Raw genomic sequence first — 16,072 nt, 5'->3', positions numbered from 1 at the left:
TTGGGAGGCTGAGGTGGGCAGATCCCTTGAGGTCAGGAGCTCGAGACCAGCCTGGACAAAATGGCGAAATCCCGTCTCTACTAAAAATACAAAAATTAGCTTGGTGTGGTGGCATGTGCCTGTAATCCCAGCTACTCAGGAGGCTGAGGCAGGAGAATCGCTTGGAGGCAGAGGTTGCAGTGAGCCAAGACAGTGCCACTGCAGTCCAGCCTGGGTGACAGAGCGAGATCTCCCAAAAAAAAAAAAAAAAAAAGGCGAGCAAAAAGTAGCAGCTAAATTCTTAAAATTCAGTAAATTCTTATCTCAGGATATGTTCTTTATTTAGGAAAATTCCTGAGTGACCTGAGTGTGGAAAGATGATGCTCCTATTAGCACATGGCCTGAAGGGATGAATAAAATAATTTTTCTGTAAAATGCAAGCAGAAAGTTTGAGTTTCTGGGAAAAATGGGAGAGTGTGCTAGAAAAATGAAGGTGATGTGCGGTGGTCCAGAAAAAGAGGGCTCAGTACTAGGCAAGAGACCATGTGGTGGAGGAAAAGATTGCCCCTGGGAAACTGAGAAATTTTGGGAAGCAAGAGGCACTGAATGTTGACATCTCAGTGTTAAGCTACTTTCTCTAAAGTAATGTAACTCCTCTTTGTGGCCTCTAACAGACTGTCACTTATTACCACTGACATGAGTTTGCACAGGGGATTATCCAGAATGGAGCAAATGGGGCAGAAGGATCCCTCACATCCATAATTCTCAGTAACACTCCCAAAACCCTCAATCTGAGGGCCGGATTTATTCCCCTGCCTGAAACAACAACGAACAAAACCAGACAAGGTATATGAAAAAATGATTCCAGATGGAAATACATGAATGATAGTGATAGAGGAGAAATGCTGATACCAGTAGAGAGAAAATCTACAAAGAACAGACACAGAGATCAAGAGATAAGCAGAAGTGGAAAAAAACAAGAGGAAATCAGAAAAAAAATGAATGCTGCTGTGAACCCACAAGAAATAAAAGGACTAGGGTAGAACTGGATTTCTCACAGTACAAGGGATGGACCCTGTCTCTGTTTGGGGCTGACACCTGGGTGCCCTCTATAAGAAAGAAAGGTGCCCACCTTTCTTTCACTCTCCAAATCCAATCTGTTAGGAAGTCTTGTTAGTTACAACTTTAAAACACATTCAGAACCCAACCACTTCTCCTCTCTGCCACTGCTACCACCCTAACCCAAGTCACTGTCAGCTCTCACCTGCACAACAGCCGAGAACCTCCTCGCCTTCCCAATTACAATTTCACATGCCCCCGACTCCCAACCCATCTATTCACATAGCAGTCAGCACGTCTGTCACCTTACACAAGAGCTTAAATTATTTGCTTACTGTCTCTCTCTCCTACTAAAATGTTAGCTCCATGAAGGCAAGGTCTTTTTTTTTGTTCATTGACGTATTCCCAGAGACTAGAACAGTGCTAAGGTATACACAGTCATCCCTCAGTATCCGTGGAGAATTGGTTCCAGGACACCCCTTCATTCTCCACTCTTCACGCATCAGTTTATGGGGGTTCAGGAGGACCAGGATCTGCAAATCATACTGTGAGAAACACCATCTTGCTTTGTCAATTAATGCTGGGACTACAATGACTTGTACATAAGAGATTCATATATGCTCACTGAATAAAAAAATGAATATAAAATAAGTTTCAGGTCATATATGGTACCTAGGACTAGCCTGGGCAGAATCCAGATGCTTTTGTATCTCCTAGCACACGCAATGAATGATAGAGTTGATACTCAAAAATGATGTGAATTCTAAAAGAAAATATATTGTTTAACATGGACCTAAGCCAATTCTGTGCCAGCCACAATAAACAAGAGATGGCTATGGCAATTCTTGTCTTCAAGGAACTTACATATCTGTATCTCTATTAATTTGTGAACAAGTTCAAGTAACTCAGATATAGTATAACTGCTCTACTCGAGATGTATACAAGAAACATTTACGAGTCACAGCCAGGCGCGGTGGCTCATGCCTGTAATCCCAGCACTTTAGGAGGCCGAGGCGGACGGATCACGAAGTCAGGAGATCGAGACCATCCTGGCTAACACAGTGAAACCCCATCTCTACTAAAAACACAAAAAATTAGCTGGGTGTGGTCACGGGCACCTGTAGTCCCAGCTACTCGGGAGGCTGAGGCAGGAGAATGGCGTGAACCTGAGTGGCGGAGCTTGCAGTGAGCCAAGATCACGCCACTGCACTCCAGCCTGGGCGACAGAGTGAAACTCCGTCTCAAAAAAAGAGAAACATTTGGGAGTCACAAAGAAGGAAGTGACCATCTTTACTGAGGAGGTCAGAGGTCAAGGAAAGATTTCTAAAAAAGATTTAACTTAGGCCGGGCGCGGTGGCTAACACCTGTAATCCCAGCACTTTGGGAGGCCAAGGTGGGTGGATCACTTGAGGTCAGGAGTTGGAGATCAGCCTGGCTAACATGGTGAAACCCCATCTCTACTAAAAATAGAAAAATTAGCCAGGCATGGTGGCACACACCTGTAATCCCAGCTACTTGGGAGGCTGAGGCAGAATCGTTTGAACCCAGGAGGCGGGAGGCTGCAGTGAGCAGAGATTGTGCCACTGCTCTCCAGCCTAGGTGACAGAGCGAGACTCCATCTCAAAAAAAAAATTTAACTTGAGCTGAGTCTTTAGGGAAGAAGGTACAGTCTGTGTGAAGGCATAACATACATGATTAAGTGGTTACTGAGAGAGAGTTAACAGAATATGGAGATATTCTGACATAAGACAGAAAAAAATTACAAAGTACTGTCCTGGGCCGGGCATGGTGGCTCACGCCTGTAATCCCAGCACTTTGGGAGGCCGAGGCGGGTGGATCACAAGGTCAGGAGATCGAGACCATCCTGGCTAACACGGTGAAACCCTGTCTCTACTTAAAATACAAAAAAAATAATTAGCCGGGAATGATGGCGGGCGCCTGTAATCCCAGCTACTCGGGAGGCTGAGGCAGGAGAATGGCGTGAACCCAGGAGGCAGAGCTTACAGTGAGAAGAGATCGCACCACTGCACTCCAGCCTGGGCGACAGAGCGAGACTCCATCTCAAAAAAAAAAAGTTCCTGGACCCACCTCTCAAACTACCCATTTCCCAATAAGATGTGACCTCCAAAGGGGCTTAACAGATTTAAAAACATCAAATAACACAATCAGGGAGGGAAAGACAAAACGTATTTATTCCAGGCCAGGTCTTAAAATGCACACTGCACGGTTCCCTGTTGTTATCAGCACCAGTAAGGAAAGAACGTGCCTTAACGGCAGCCCCACCCAGAGCCTGCTGCGTGGCTGCTGTGAGGCTCCCCATGAATCCACGCAGTCTTCTTCCTCACTGGTGCAGTTGGTGAGGTTTTCTACCCTCACAGCAAAGGGATCCTTAACTATAAATTCACGGTATGCAGAGAAGAGGACAGAATCTGATTTACTGATTGTTCCTCATTTAAACCATGACTTAATCTCTATCTTAGGATTTAACTATCTTTATTTTCTGGTTAAAATTTTTAAAAAAAGTGGGGAGAGGGTGAGAGTCGTAAGGGGCAATAGCAATAGAGATTACACTGTGCTGACACAGAGACTAAATTCTAGTCAGAGTGAAGACCCATATAAAAGGCCGGCTGATGGTTTAAAGGAAGTAACTACATGGAGTCTAATCGAGACATTCATGAGTTACATCTCATTATTAGCCTTAGTAATGTAAGAAAACAATTCTCAACAAAACTGGAGTCCACAGTTGTCAAGTATGCTTTCTCAGGCACGGGTAGGTAAAAGTCTGGAGAAATGGGTTCTCTCCATGCCCAATGACAAAGCAAGACGGTCCTAGGTTTGAGGTTAAGAGCAGGTCCCATTGCCGGGCGGTATCCGCAGCTCACAGCTGAGTTTAGCAGTGGAATCGAGTGGAGAATTTGGGAGATACAGGCACAGTCAGAGGCTGGTCACTTGACTTTATCTCCAGACCCTGGTACTTGCGTATTGGATTTGCCTTATGCACCTGCAAAGTAAGGAAAAGTTACCAGTGAGAGGGATGTCAGAGAACTACGCTTATAATTGCTTTTATTTTTTTCTTTTTGAGAAAATGTTTGTAGAGTTTTACAGGTCCCAGTCACTAGTTTCAGGTGTGGGGAGTGGGGCCTGGGGGGCAACACGGTATGATGGAAAAGTGTATGTGCTTTGGAGCCCAAAAGGGTTTCTATTCAGGTCTCTATTGGGTCCCCCAGCTTTCCTTTAGGCCACAGTCTCCTCAAGTCCCTCAGCTTTCACTAAAGAATGCCAAACCTATGTCCTGTGTGATTTACTAGGGTATAATAGGGCTGTACTCAAGTATAGCAGAGAAGTTACAAGCTAAGAATTTCCCAGAGTACAGTCTTAAGTTTACTGACTATAAATATTCACCAAAAGCCTGAATCCTGGGGAAAAAGCAAAAACAAAACACAACAACCATACCAGGAAGGGTGGCTAAAGAAGGCATGGTCCCATCCATCCTTTAGGGTAGTCTAAAATCAATCCTAAATCAAGCCAGATTAGTAGAGAGTTAACCAGCATTGACTGAATTGTGCTTTACAATGTTGCCATCAGTTATGTTGAGAATTGCTGCAAGAAGCAGTTCTATAATGGGGACAAACACAAGAGGCAGGTACCAAATGCTAAAGAAAAATCAAAGTTGAGGCCGGGAAAAAAGGCTGATTGTATGAGTGTATATAGAGTGGGGATTATACTATTTTCTCATTCACTCAGCAAATGGTAGTCTAGATTTTACCAAGAGGCTGGTCTCCTAAATAGTGTGTCCGTGGAACCTTCCTATGGGCATAATCACCTATGCCAATAGCTGCCAATAGCTGTTTCAACTGCTAGTCTAGCATTTTATTTATTTATTTAAAATAGAGATGGGACTTTGCTATGTTGCCCACGCTTTTCTTGAACTCCTGGGCTCACGCAATCCTCCCACCTTGGCCTCCCAAAGTGTGAGGATTACAGGTGTGAGCTGCCACATCCAGCTGTAGTATAGCACTTTTAGACAAAACCTCAACAACTTACACTTCTTTTTTTTTTTTTTTTTTTTTTTTGAGACAGTCTCGCTCTGTCACCCCCAGGCTGGACTGCAGTGGCACAATCGGCTCACTGCAACCTGGGCCTCCCAGGTTCAAGCAATTCTCCTGCCTCAGCCTCCCGAGTAGCTGGGATTACAGGTGCGTGCCACCATGCCCGGCTAATTTTTGTATTTTTAGTAGAGACAGAGTTTCGCCATTTTGGCCAGGCTGGTCTCCAACTCCTGACCTCAAGTGATCCACCCACCTGGGCCTCCCATAGTGCTGGGATTACAGGTGTGAGCCACCATTCCTGGCCTTCTTTCTTTTTAATTGACAGATAACACTGTATATTTTTATTGTGTACCGCTGATGTTTTAAAGTAGACATACATTATGGAATGGTTACTATGTGAGATAATGCATTTGTTAATTAGCAAGATGCTAATTAACATTGTAGTGTGAGCACATAACATCCACTTATTGTAGTGTGAGCACATAACATCCACTTTCTTTACAGTTTTCAAGAATACAATATATCATTAACTACAGTCACCTTGTTATATGATAGATCTCTTGAAATTTACTCCTCCCATCTAACTGTAACTAAGTAACCTTTTACCAACATCTCCCCATGACCCTTTCTTTTTTTATTTATCATACGAAGTTCCATCTAAAACTGTCTGCTTCTTCATTAACACAGTTAACACAACTTGCTGCCCTCCTAGCAGATTGGTCCTTAATGTGGAGTTCAGGTTTCTTTTTGGATAACCAACATCTAAATAATTATGTTAGTAGAGGATTACCTGGAGCGACGAACACTGTAACTCCAAGGAGTTTGGGCTCAGTATTAAAACAAAAATACAGTTGCCATTTAATTCCCATGTCCTTCGCTATGTATTCTTGTCTAATTACAAAACTCAGTGGTGCTTCTTAACCCCAGAGGAAATAATAAGTTACATAAATAAAATAAACAAATAAATAAAAAACAGTCCTAGGAAAGGCATCATGGTTATACCACATGTTGTCCTCCTTATGAAAACTTCCGGAAGAAATTCTGTCTAAAAATTCACTATCAAAGGGATAAATGTATTTTTTGAACAACTGTCTTATGTCTCATGAACACTGCGAGTTTTGTAACTGACAGGTTGGTTCCTAAAAAGGGCCAAAATTACAGCTCCTACTTAGATCACAATGTACACATCGTTAGCTTCATTCACAACTCAACTTCATCACCACCCTCAGTTTGTGCAATTCCCCCTTTCACTCATTGTCTTTGGTACAGCCTTGCGGGCTACCTTAGATCCTGTCTGGTACAAGGTAAGGTACAGGTAAAATAAAACAGAGGCATGTTTGTGTTCGTCAGTGCTCATGCTCCCAGTTACCAGTTCTCTCCGTAGCCTGGCCAGCTCCTCTTTTTTCTGCTCTTCCTCCTGTAGTCTGGCCTCCTCCAACTGCTGGGCTTTCTGGGCTTCTACCTCAGCCATTCTCTTCTCCAGCTCCTGCCGCTCTTTGGCTCTCTTCTCAGTAGCCAGCTGAAAAGGTTCCTGAACTAGAGAACCAGAAAGGCCCTCTAAGTACAGAAACAGAAAAAATATTGGTGCACAAGCAGGACTTGCATAAACCTACGCCCCCTGGAATGAGCAAGTGGCACAGACATGCACACTAACAGGAAGACTGTGCTCTAAACAAGCCCCATTGGGAGAAAGGTAGAGCCAACTAAATACAAAAAGTTTTAGAATTTTAAGAGTTCAAAGGGCCCCTGGAAATCGTCTGGTGTAATTGGGAAAAAGGCAAAGACATAAAGTAGCTTGCACAAAACTATATAGTGATTGATTTTGAGGCAGACATAGAAGAAAGATCCCAATATTCTTTTTTTCCCTTTTTGGAAAGATTTTTTTGAAAAAGAGATGGGGTCTTGCTATGTTGCCCATGCTGGTCTCAAATCCCTGGGCTCAAGTGATCCTCCTGTCCGGGCCTCCCAAAGTGCTGGGACTACAGGCATGAGCCACCACACCCGGTGGAATCCCAGTATTCTAGCACACTGCCCAGTGTTTAAGGAATCAAATGTTTTATATCTAAAGTTTGCTTCAGGGTGAATTCCAGAAAGCCATACTGGCTCTCCCTCCCTCATTTACTTGTTTCTCTGTGGATGGGGAAAACCTATCATTGTTGTTGAAATGCCAGCTGCTTCTGCCAAGGTTCATGTTAAATGAATCTGGCCCTAACACATCCTGCAACTCAACATAGCTGCTGGGTTCAATAAAGGCAAAAAACTGGGTCTAGGGGAAGAAAAGCTACCATCTGCTAAAGTCAAATGCTTCTAGTTGACACAGCATTGTACTGACACACTGAATTCCAGCATCCCACTGGGAAGTCTGACAATTCTGCCCGAGTCCCATCAGAGTACATATAATACTACCAGCAACTGATTTCTTCTCTTTCTTGGGAACAAAGGGCTCCTGAGAGATGACGGTGTTTGGACGAGCCTTGAAACAAGCTGCTTCTTTCTGCTGTCTCAGTTCTTCTTCCAGCTATTAGAGAGAAAGTCAGTCAGATGAGCAATGTCTCACCTTTCTATGACCACTACCTCAATAACTTAAGTTCTAATGTCTGAACTGCTTCATCAATAAAAATAGCAGATTTAATATAAACCCTAGTAAAAATCTTTCACACAAACTTTACAATGAACAGATCAGTCTGACAACATTTGAACTCACTGAGAACTAGAAAGCATTTTTAAGATACTTTTAAGATTCCCAAGTTTGCATTTTCGACATTAAAGTTTACTTTTTTTTTTCTTTTTAGTTTATGTTCACATTTATTTTTCTTATTATTATACTTTAAGTTTTAGGGTACATGTGCACAATGTGCAGGTTTGTTACATATGTATACATGTGCCATGTTGGTGTGCTAAAGTTTACTTTTAAATTAAAAAAAAAAAGATTCCAAACACAAAGAAATGATAAATGTTTGAGATTATGGATATGCTAATTACCCTGATCAGATCATTACACATTATACATATTGAAACATCACTATGTACCCCAAGAATATGTACAACTATTATTTGTCAATTAAAAAAAACAAAAAATTTTAAAGGTACTTTTAAGACCTATCTTTATATCATAAAAATAAACAACTAGACATTTTCTGCCTTCACACATGATTCATTAGGAACTATACAGTATCACCTATAAAGTATTCTTCCCACCTCCAAAAAAAAAAAAAAATCTAACCAGAATTGAATCAAGCCTCCAGATCTTACTACTCATTTATAGGAAATACAAGCAACAGAGGAACATGTTAGACAACTGTGTGGGAACGCAATCAGCAAAATCCAGATTGTGGAAAATCTACAGTACAAACAATCCAGTTTATTCAACAAATAAAATGCAAAGAGAGGAGCCTATAGATTGAAAGAAGATTCGGAGATTTAGCAAACAAAGGCACTATGTAGACTATATATGGATATTGATTTTAACAATTCAACTGTTTAAAAAATTATGAGAAATGTGCAGATATTTGATTATTTTTAATCTTTTTAAGTGTGAGAATATTATTGTGGTTATAAGTCTTTATATTTTAAATATATACACTGAAGTATTTTTGGATGAAAAGGGATGTTACATAGAATTTGTTTCAAAGTAATCTTACACAGGTAGAAGTATCCAGTGTAAGATAAGTGGGTAGAAGTTGGGATGAAACAAGACTTTTCATGTTTTGATCACTATAGAACCAGGTGATGGGTTCATGAAAATTCATTATACTATTCACCCTACTTTTATATTTCTGAAAAGCTTTTTAAAACAATTGTTTTTGTTGTTGTTCTTTGCAGAAAATGCCCTACACAGACATTCTGTGTCTTGGTCATTGAGAGGGGAAAATTCACTATTTCCAAGGCAACAGTCCTAAGGTTTCTTAGAGAACCACACTAACAGGGGACCAACGTTCAGTCATGTAAGCCATTACAACTCTCGGGCTTCAGGAGGGGTAATTCCTACAAACAAACAATAGCCTAGAGCTCCTTTTGGAAAGAATCCAAGATTAATGATGACATAAAAATCCAAAAAACTTAGAAATTCAGGGGAAATTTTTTCCAGCCACGTAGAATTAGATCCCAATTAAATCAGCAAATAACCAATTAATTGTTTTAAATCACCTGTCATTTATAAAGAGCAAATAGCACATCATGCTGAGAAAACAGCATTGTATATTTCAATCTATTCTCCCATACTGTTTCTTACCAATGCATCAACAGAAAGGAATAAACACAATGAATGAGTCTAATAGATGGAATAGATAAGATCTTAAAGAAACTCCCAACTCCAGAAAAGCCTGTCGGTTCCCACATTCCCCGGGTGATCACTTGGAGCAGGGGACATTCCCAGGTGATCACTTAGAGCAGGGGTCAGCAAACTCTGGCCTACAGGCCAAATCCAGCTTGCAACCTGTTTTAGGACAGCGCTTGAGCTAAGAATGGTTTTTACATTTTTAAAGAGTTGATTGGGCACAGCAGCTCATGCTTGTAATCCCAGCACTTTGGGAGGCCACGGTGGGCAGATCACTTGAGATCAGGAGTTTGAGACCAGCCTGGCCAACATGGCAAAACCTTGTCTCTACTAAAAACACAAAAATTAGCTGGGCGTGGTGGCACGCGCCTGTAATCCCAGCTACTCGGGAGGCTGAGGTGGGAGAATCACTTGAACCTGGGAGACGGAGGTTGCAGTGAGCCGAGATCGCACTACTGCACTCCAGCCTGGGTGACAGAGCGACACTCTGTCTCAAACCAAACAAAAAAAGAGTTGAAAACATGTAGCTGGGTGTGGTGGCTCACACCTGTAATCCCAGCACTTCGGGAAGCCGAGGCGGACAGATCACGAGGTCAGGAAATTGAGACCATCCTGGCTAACACGGTGAAACCCCATCCCTACTAAAAATATAAAAAAATTAGCCAGGCTTGGTGGTGGGCGTCTGTAGTCCCAGCTACTCAGGAGGCTGAGGCAGGAGACTGGCGTGAACCCAGGAGGCGGAGCTTGCAGTGAGCCGAGATTGTGCCACTGCACTCCAGCCTGGGCAACACAGCAAGGCTCTGTCTCAAAAAACAACAACAACAACAACAAAATGTGTGCGTACACACACACATACACACACACACACACACACACACACACACACACACTATGCGACAGAGACCATATGTAACCTACAAAACCTAAAATATTTCTTATCTGGCCCTTTACAGAAATAATGTGCTGACCCCTGATTTACAGTGAGAGCCCCTGAAACAATGTAGCATGTTAACCCAGGTGATTTCAGTATGGTGGGTCTGCCTGTACAATCAACCAACCAAGCAATTAACATTTTGGCTGCTCTCCCCATCCCCTACCTGGTGCTTCCAAGTCTGTGCCTTCAGAGCACCTCTTCTGTCAGTCTCCAAGCAGAAAGGTTCAATCTGGGTCACATTCTTTACCTTCTTCTCTGGCAGGTTAATGGTGTCAAAATGAGGCAAGGGAAGTGCCTTGAACTTGGGCACCTAACAGAAAAGAAAACATGAGGTTTAAGATAAAGACTAGCTGGAAAGCAATAGCTGCTCCAGAATATCTGGAAGAATCTGAAAAATAAGGAAGGAAACCTTTCAAAGCAGCATGAAAGAATGAATAATGGGTTCAAAAGGAAATCTAGGCTTTCCTCCTAATATTGCCTATAACCAGCAGTGTGATCAGAGGCAAGTCACTTAACCTCCTTGTGCCAGAAGGATTATTTAAATTACTTGTCCCATTTATATTTTATAGGGTTCTTAGAAAGATCAAAAGAAGTCAGTGATTTTATAGTTAAAAGTGCTACAGAAAAAACTGTCTTTGAGGGATCAAAGAATAGTATTACACTACTTGCAGAAATGGAAACACCTACCTCCCCTTTCTGCAGTTCTTTTATTTTCTTCTCCTTCTGTAACTGACGTTCTTTGTCTCGAGAATCAAACGAGAAAGGGCATATTTCCACAGTTCTTGCCTCTGGGATTTGGGGCTTAAAAGGCACCCCATAATGTGGCACAGGTTGAGCTTTTATCACTACCGGTTCGTCCTCTTCCTAGGGAAAAAATTGCAGTTTAGAAATAAGACTCCTCACTCTCTCCAACTTCCCCAGAATGTGGAGTCAGAAGACATTATATTAATATGTGGCATTAATTAAAACAAAATTAAAGGAAGTCTTAGCTTCCTTTTCTATCCAAGAAGGATGATGACTTAGGTAAGTCATCTACCACCAAGGGCTAACACAATTACTCTTAAAAGATCTAGTTTTCCACAGGAATGTTGTAAAAACTAAATAAGATCTAACATTATGAATAAAATGAACATCAGAAGATCGGTCCCAACCAAGCATATACCTTAGTCTCTTCTTTGACCCAGCCTCTAGACTTCATTAAAACATGTGACTGGGACTTAATGGTTGCCAAACCCAGAATAGGATTGCCAAACCCAAGTTGTTTGGGTTCAAGCTGGTAACACAAGATTACTGCGTATTTTAGTTTCAAATGAACCTATAAAAAGGCTTATGCTTGCAATCTGCTATAAAATTACCCTAACTCTGGATATTTATAGATAAAATGGGAGATGTAACAAGAAACTGGCCTGACCAATGACAGTTTATATATTACAATTCCATAAACGATCACCACAGTCACCTTTGCAACTCCTCTGGGTTAACGGAGATAGGACAAGGTGGATGTAATTGCTTAGTATGAATTTTCAAAGTCCATCACTGAATAGTGACAATCTAAGGCAAAATAAAGTGCAACTTTTGATCCATGTTACAAAGAGCAGCTGATTTTCAATGCTACAGCAGACAAGCCTCCAATGCTTAACTGCTCCTTACTGTTTCCATAAATTGTAACTAGTTATCACTAAGAGCAGAAAATTCATACCCTTACCAATTACTTTGTTCTTGGAGGAACAAAAAAAATGAACAAATGTTCATACCCATTCTTAAAGACAAGTCCAAAAAAGAGTGGTTGCCTTTGAACTCCATTAAGATTAATAAATGATAAGGCTTAGATTGACTGACTATATAGAAGGAAAAAGAACCCCCCTACTCCCAGGGAATCACCTCATCTTCTTTGGTGGGCATTCGAATTCTGTTCTTCAATGCAAAGGCTGGTGACTTGGGGACGGTGATTGGAAGTACCTTCTTTTCAGGAACACCCTGAAAGGAGTAAGCAACTCAATTAGATATCACAAAATGATCTCCACTAAGCTGTATGAGAAGATTAAATCCTTTTTTCCCCTTTGGGTAGAGACAGGGTCTCACTATGTTGCCCAGCTGGTCTCAAACTCCTGGGCTCAGGCAATCTTCCTGCCTTGGCCTCGCAAAGTGCTGGGATTACAGGTGTGAGCCACTGCACATGGCCTAGAATGATATTTTTGAGTTTTTAAAATATAATTAATCTAAGCACAGAAAATAAAAGAACATAAAAGGGAAAGAACACCAAATTGTCAACTCTCATATCTCTTTGAGGGTGAATTAAGAGAGAAATTTAATTTTCTACATCTCATAATCCTTTTATTTGTTTGTTTGTTTTGAGACAGAGTCTCACCCTGTTGCCCAGGCTGGAGTGCAATGGGGCAATCTCGGCTCACTGTAACCTCTGCCTCCTGGGCTCAAGTGATCCTCCCACCTCAGCCTCCTGAGTAGCTGGGACTACAAGCGCGCACCACTTTGCCCAGCTAATCATTTTTTGTAGAGATGGGTCTCAAATTCCTGGCCTCAAGCAATCTCCTGCCTTGGCCTCCCAAAGTGTGAGGATTACGGACGTGAACCACTGTACCCAGCCTTATATCTCATAATTCCAACACATTCAACTACCCTGAAGATTTTTCCTTAATGATTTTAAAACACTGCTAACATTTCAAATCGTTGTGGAATAAATGACATGTATCATATTGTGCACATAATTTAAAACTAACACATTTTAGAGAGTTGTTCCACAGCATTTTTTGATTCACACAGAGTTTATATTCTATCACAAATCTGGCAATTAATCCTAACTGCAAAATGGTATCTCTTGGCTGCTGTTTTGAATGAAGTGTACGGCCAGATCGATTAAGAACAAAACAAAACCTCAGTAATTTCTTGTTACACTCGTGTCCACATCCTGCCCCCATCAGCTCTCTATTCTGCTCTTCCCTAAAGTTTCATTGCCAGACCTACTTCAGCTATTGCCTGTGCCATTCTGCTAGTCTCCTAACAGTCTTTCAGCTCCACAACTCATTCCTCCAATTCATTGTCTGCATGTAGTCCACATTATTACTCTAAAACACATTTGATCACATTACTTCCTGACTTAAAATTCTTTAGGCCAGGTGCAGTGGCTCATGTCTGTAATCCCAGCACTTTGGGAGGCAGAGGTGGGTGGATCACGAGGTCAGGAGATCGAGACTATCCTGGCTAACACGGTGAAACCCCGTCTCTACTAAAAATACAAAAAAATTAGCCGGGCATGGTGGCGGGTGCCTGTAGTCCCAGCTACTCGGGAGGCTGAGGCAGGAGACTGGCGTGAACCCAGGAGGCGGAGCTTGCAGTGAGCCAAGATCGCACCACTGCACTCCAGCCTGGGCGACAGAGCAAGACTCCGTCTCAAAGAAAAAAAAATTAATTCTTTAATGGCTCCTATTGCTTACCTACAACAGCATAACAAATTCCTTTTCGTGAAACACAAGGCACTTGCTTGAATCTCACTCATAAATATCGCCTTCATGGCCTCCTTAGTAGTAGCATTAATCTGGTACCCTCCTGACTCTCCCGCCTTACCTCTCACCCCTCCTTACATATCACGTTGCAACCACAACGAACTACTGATCGCTCCCCAAATGGTTCCTATCTCATTACCTTTGCTTGTGCTTTCTCTGTCTGAAATGCCCCGGCTGCTTGAAAGCACCCAATTCATCTTTTCAAGCCTCCACTTTTATAAAGCCTTTCCTCTTTTATAAAGCCTTTCAATAGATCTCTCCACTCCCAGGACCTACAGAACTGACCCCTTTATCCCATTGTATATGGTTTTATCACAGTCCATACAAAACTTAATTGCACTTATTTATTTAGATGTTCATTTCCCCCTGCTAGCCTGAGTGCTTCGAGGATGGAGACTATTTTACTCCATCAGACCCAAGTACCTAACATAGACCTTGGCAAGTATAAAGCACTCAGTAAATGTTTGTTGAATGAATGCAGTAAGAATGAATGAACACATGAGTAACAGAATTTATACCTTGGACTCTAGGAGGATACCTTGGGAGCCTTCTCCTTAATCCCAACAATGCTGCAACCGTTCGAAACATGTTTGGAATGTCTTTCTTGGAGTGGCTTTCAAAGGCACTTTCTGGACCATGCAAGACAGTTGCTCAATCTTTACTATTCATTTAACAAATAGTTTACACCTCTATTATCTTGGACTACTCAGAAGTTTTAGTTCCAAATAACCTTAGACTAGATCCTAAAAGCAAATTAATGTTTAAAATACACGTGAAGATTTGTCATCCTGGGAGGGATCCCAAAGGCTCATCTCAGGATTCAAGATGCATGGCTTTTCCAAAATGCTTTTTGCAGTATCACAATCATTGGAAGGGATTTACAGTCTCTCAAGGTGACCACTGAGAATGCTCATTCTGCTGTGAAATTTCTTATATGTTTTCTAAAGAATGCTAGAATCATTAGCATAGTGAAATCCAATATAGCAGATCTTGTATTCAGAGTGACAAAACTCCAAGAAATGGGTTGTCAAATGATGTTTACCATAAAACAGCAACAACAACAAAATCTGCTCTTCTATAGACATGTGGACACTAGCATCTTGCTTGAATGCACCAGGGGCAAGTGGAAGAGAGACAAATAGTGAGCAAGAAGCCACGGGTCTGTCTGTTCCAGCCCAGCTCTGCTTCCAATCTGTATAACCTTAAACACATCAGATATCCTTCTAGGCCTTGGGGTTTTTTAATAAAATAAAGTAATTGAAATAAGTAATTGAGGATTCATTTAGTTCTGAAATAATTCCCTCTCTCTGCATTCACCCAACAGAAATGTCTGCATTTTAAAAGAGAAGCAAGGGAAACCTCTAATAAGTAGGCCATGAAGGAGATATGTATGAGTGAGCTCAATCTCTTAATTAGTTGGGGGAGAGGAAAAGATGATTTATGAAAATCATCTTTGCAGCAACTATCCACTCACACCCCAGCCCCCCTTCCATCAAAGTTAACTAGGGGCTCGATTAGAAATAATGAAAAGAAAATTGGGTTTACAGAAACAAAGAAAGTTTTTTTTTGTTTTTTTTTGTTTTTGCTATTTTAAGTTTTTTAAATTATAAGCTCCTTGAGGACTGGAATATTGTCATTTGCATTCTTTTGTCTTCCCATATCACCTACTAGAAGACCCCGTAGTAACTGTTCAATGAACATATGTTGGTTAATATTACCATATTTACTCATTTACACATCTATATGCTCTACCAGACTATGAAAGCTTTGAGGACAAGGGCCGTGTCTTATACCATCTTTGAATTCCTAGTGTCTAGGTGCATGTCAGCTTCTACTATTACTCACTCAGTTATCCGATATCAGAGTGCTTGTGCTGTGGTGGTCACTATGCTAGGGGCTAGGGATACAGAGTGAATAATATAGATACACACGGTCCCTGTTCTCAGGGAGCTCACATTCTAATGGAGGAAAGAGACAATGAAGATTTAACAAATTAAATACTTCCAAATTTTCACAAGTGCTCTAAAGAAACCCAGCAGAATATGGAGCTAATGGTTATTAGAGGGATGCTCCCTCAATGAAGGGGAAGGTATCTCTAAAGAGGTGATATGTGGTTAGAATGGGGCAATGTGGGTGGATAAATGATGCATTTAGGAAAAGCAGCCAGGACTGGGGATGGGAATGGGGAGGTGAATACCTCTCCCTAAGACAGGATGTGCCCCCCAAGTACCCTGGGACAGGATCTCAGGCCTGT

The 16,072-nt window shown here is 41.6% G+C and overlaps 1 protein-coding gene across 6 annotated transcripts in view; it reads right to left on the bottom strand.

Moving 5' to 3' along the window:
- Positions 1-3,208: 3,208 nt before the first annotated feature.
- Positions 3,209-16,072, bottom strand: part of TPX2 (TPX2 microtubule nucleation factor) — a 62,511-nt gene continuing 49,647 nt past the window's right edge. For 3 of the 6 annotated variants that reach the window (NM_012112.5, XM_011528699.3, XM_011528697.3), the window contains 6 exons: positions 12,179-12,274; positions 10,985-11,161; positions 10,461-10,607; positions 7,494-7,605; positions 6,457-6,644; positions 3,209-4,039 (listed from right to left, as the gene is read on the bottom strand). In NM_012112.5, coding sequence (NP_036244.2) covers positions 3,929-4,039; positions 6,457-6,644; positions 7,494-7,605; positions 10,461-10,607; positions 10,985-11,161; positions 12,179-12,274 — 831 coding nt within the window. In that variant the 3' untranslated portion in view covers positions 3,209-3,928. The remainder of the gene's footprint in view (positions 4,040-6,456; positions 6,645-7,493; positions 7,606-10,460; positions 10,608-10,984; positions 11,162-12,178; positions 12,275-16,072) is intronic. The other 3 variants (XM_011528700.4, XM_047440018.1, XM_047440017.1) reach the window with 1 other exon arrangement.

This window comes from Homo sapiens, chromosome 20 (genome assembly GCF_000001405.40).
Source record: "Homo sapiens chromosome 20, GRCh38.p14 Primary Assembly".
In the NCBI taxonomy this organism is placed as follows: domain Eukaryota; kingdom Metazoa; phylum Chordata; class Mammalia; order Primates; family Hominidae; genus Homo; species Homo sapiens.
Note: the sequence above shows the minus strand (reverse complement) of the source record. Positions and strands in the feature narration are given on the sequence as shown.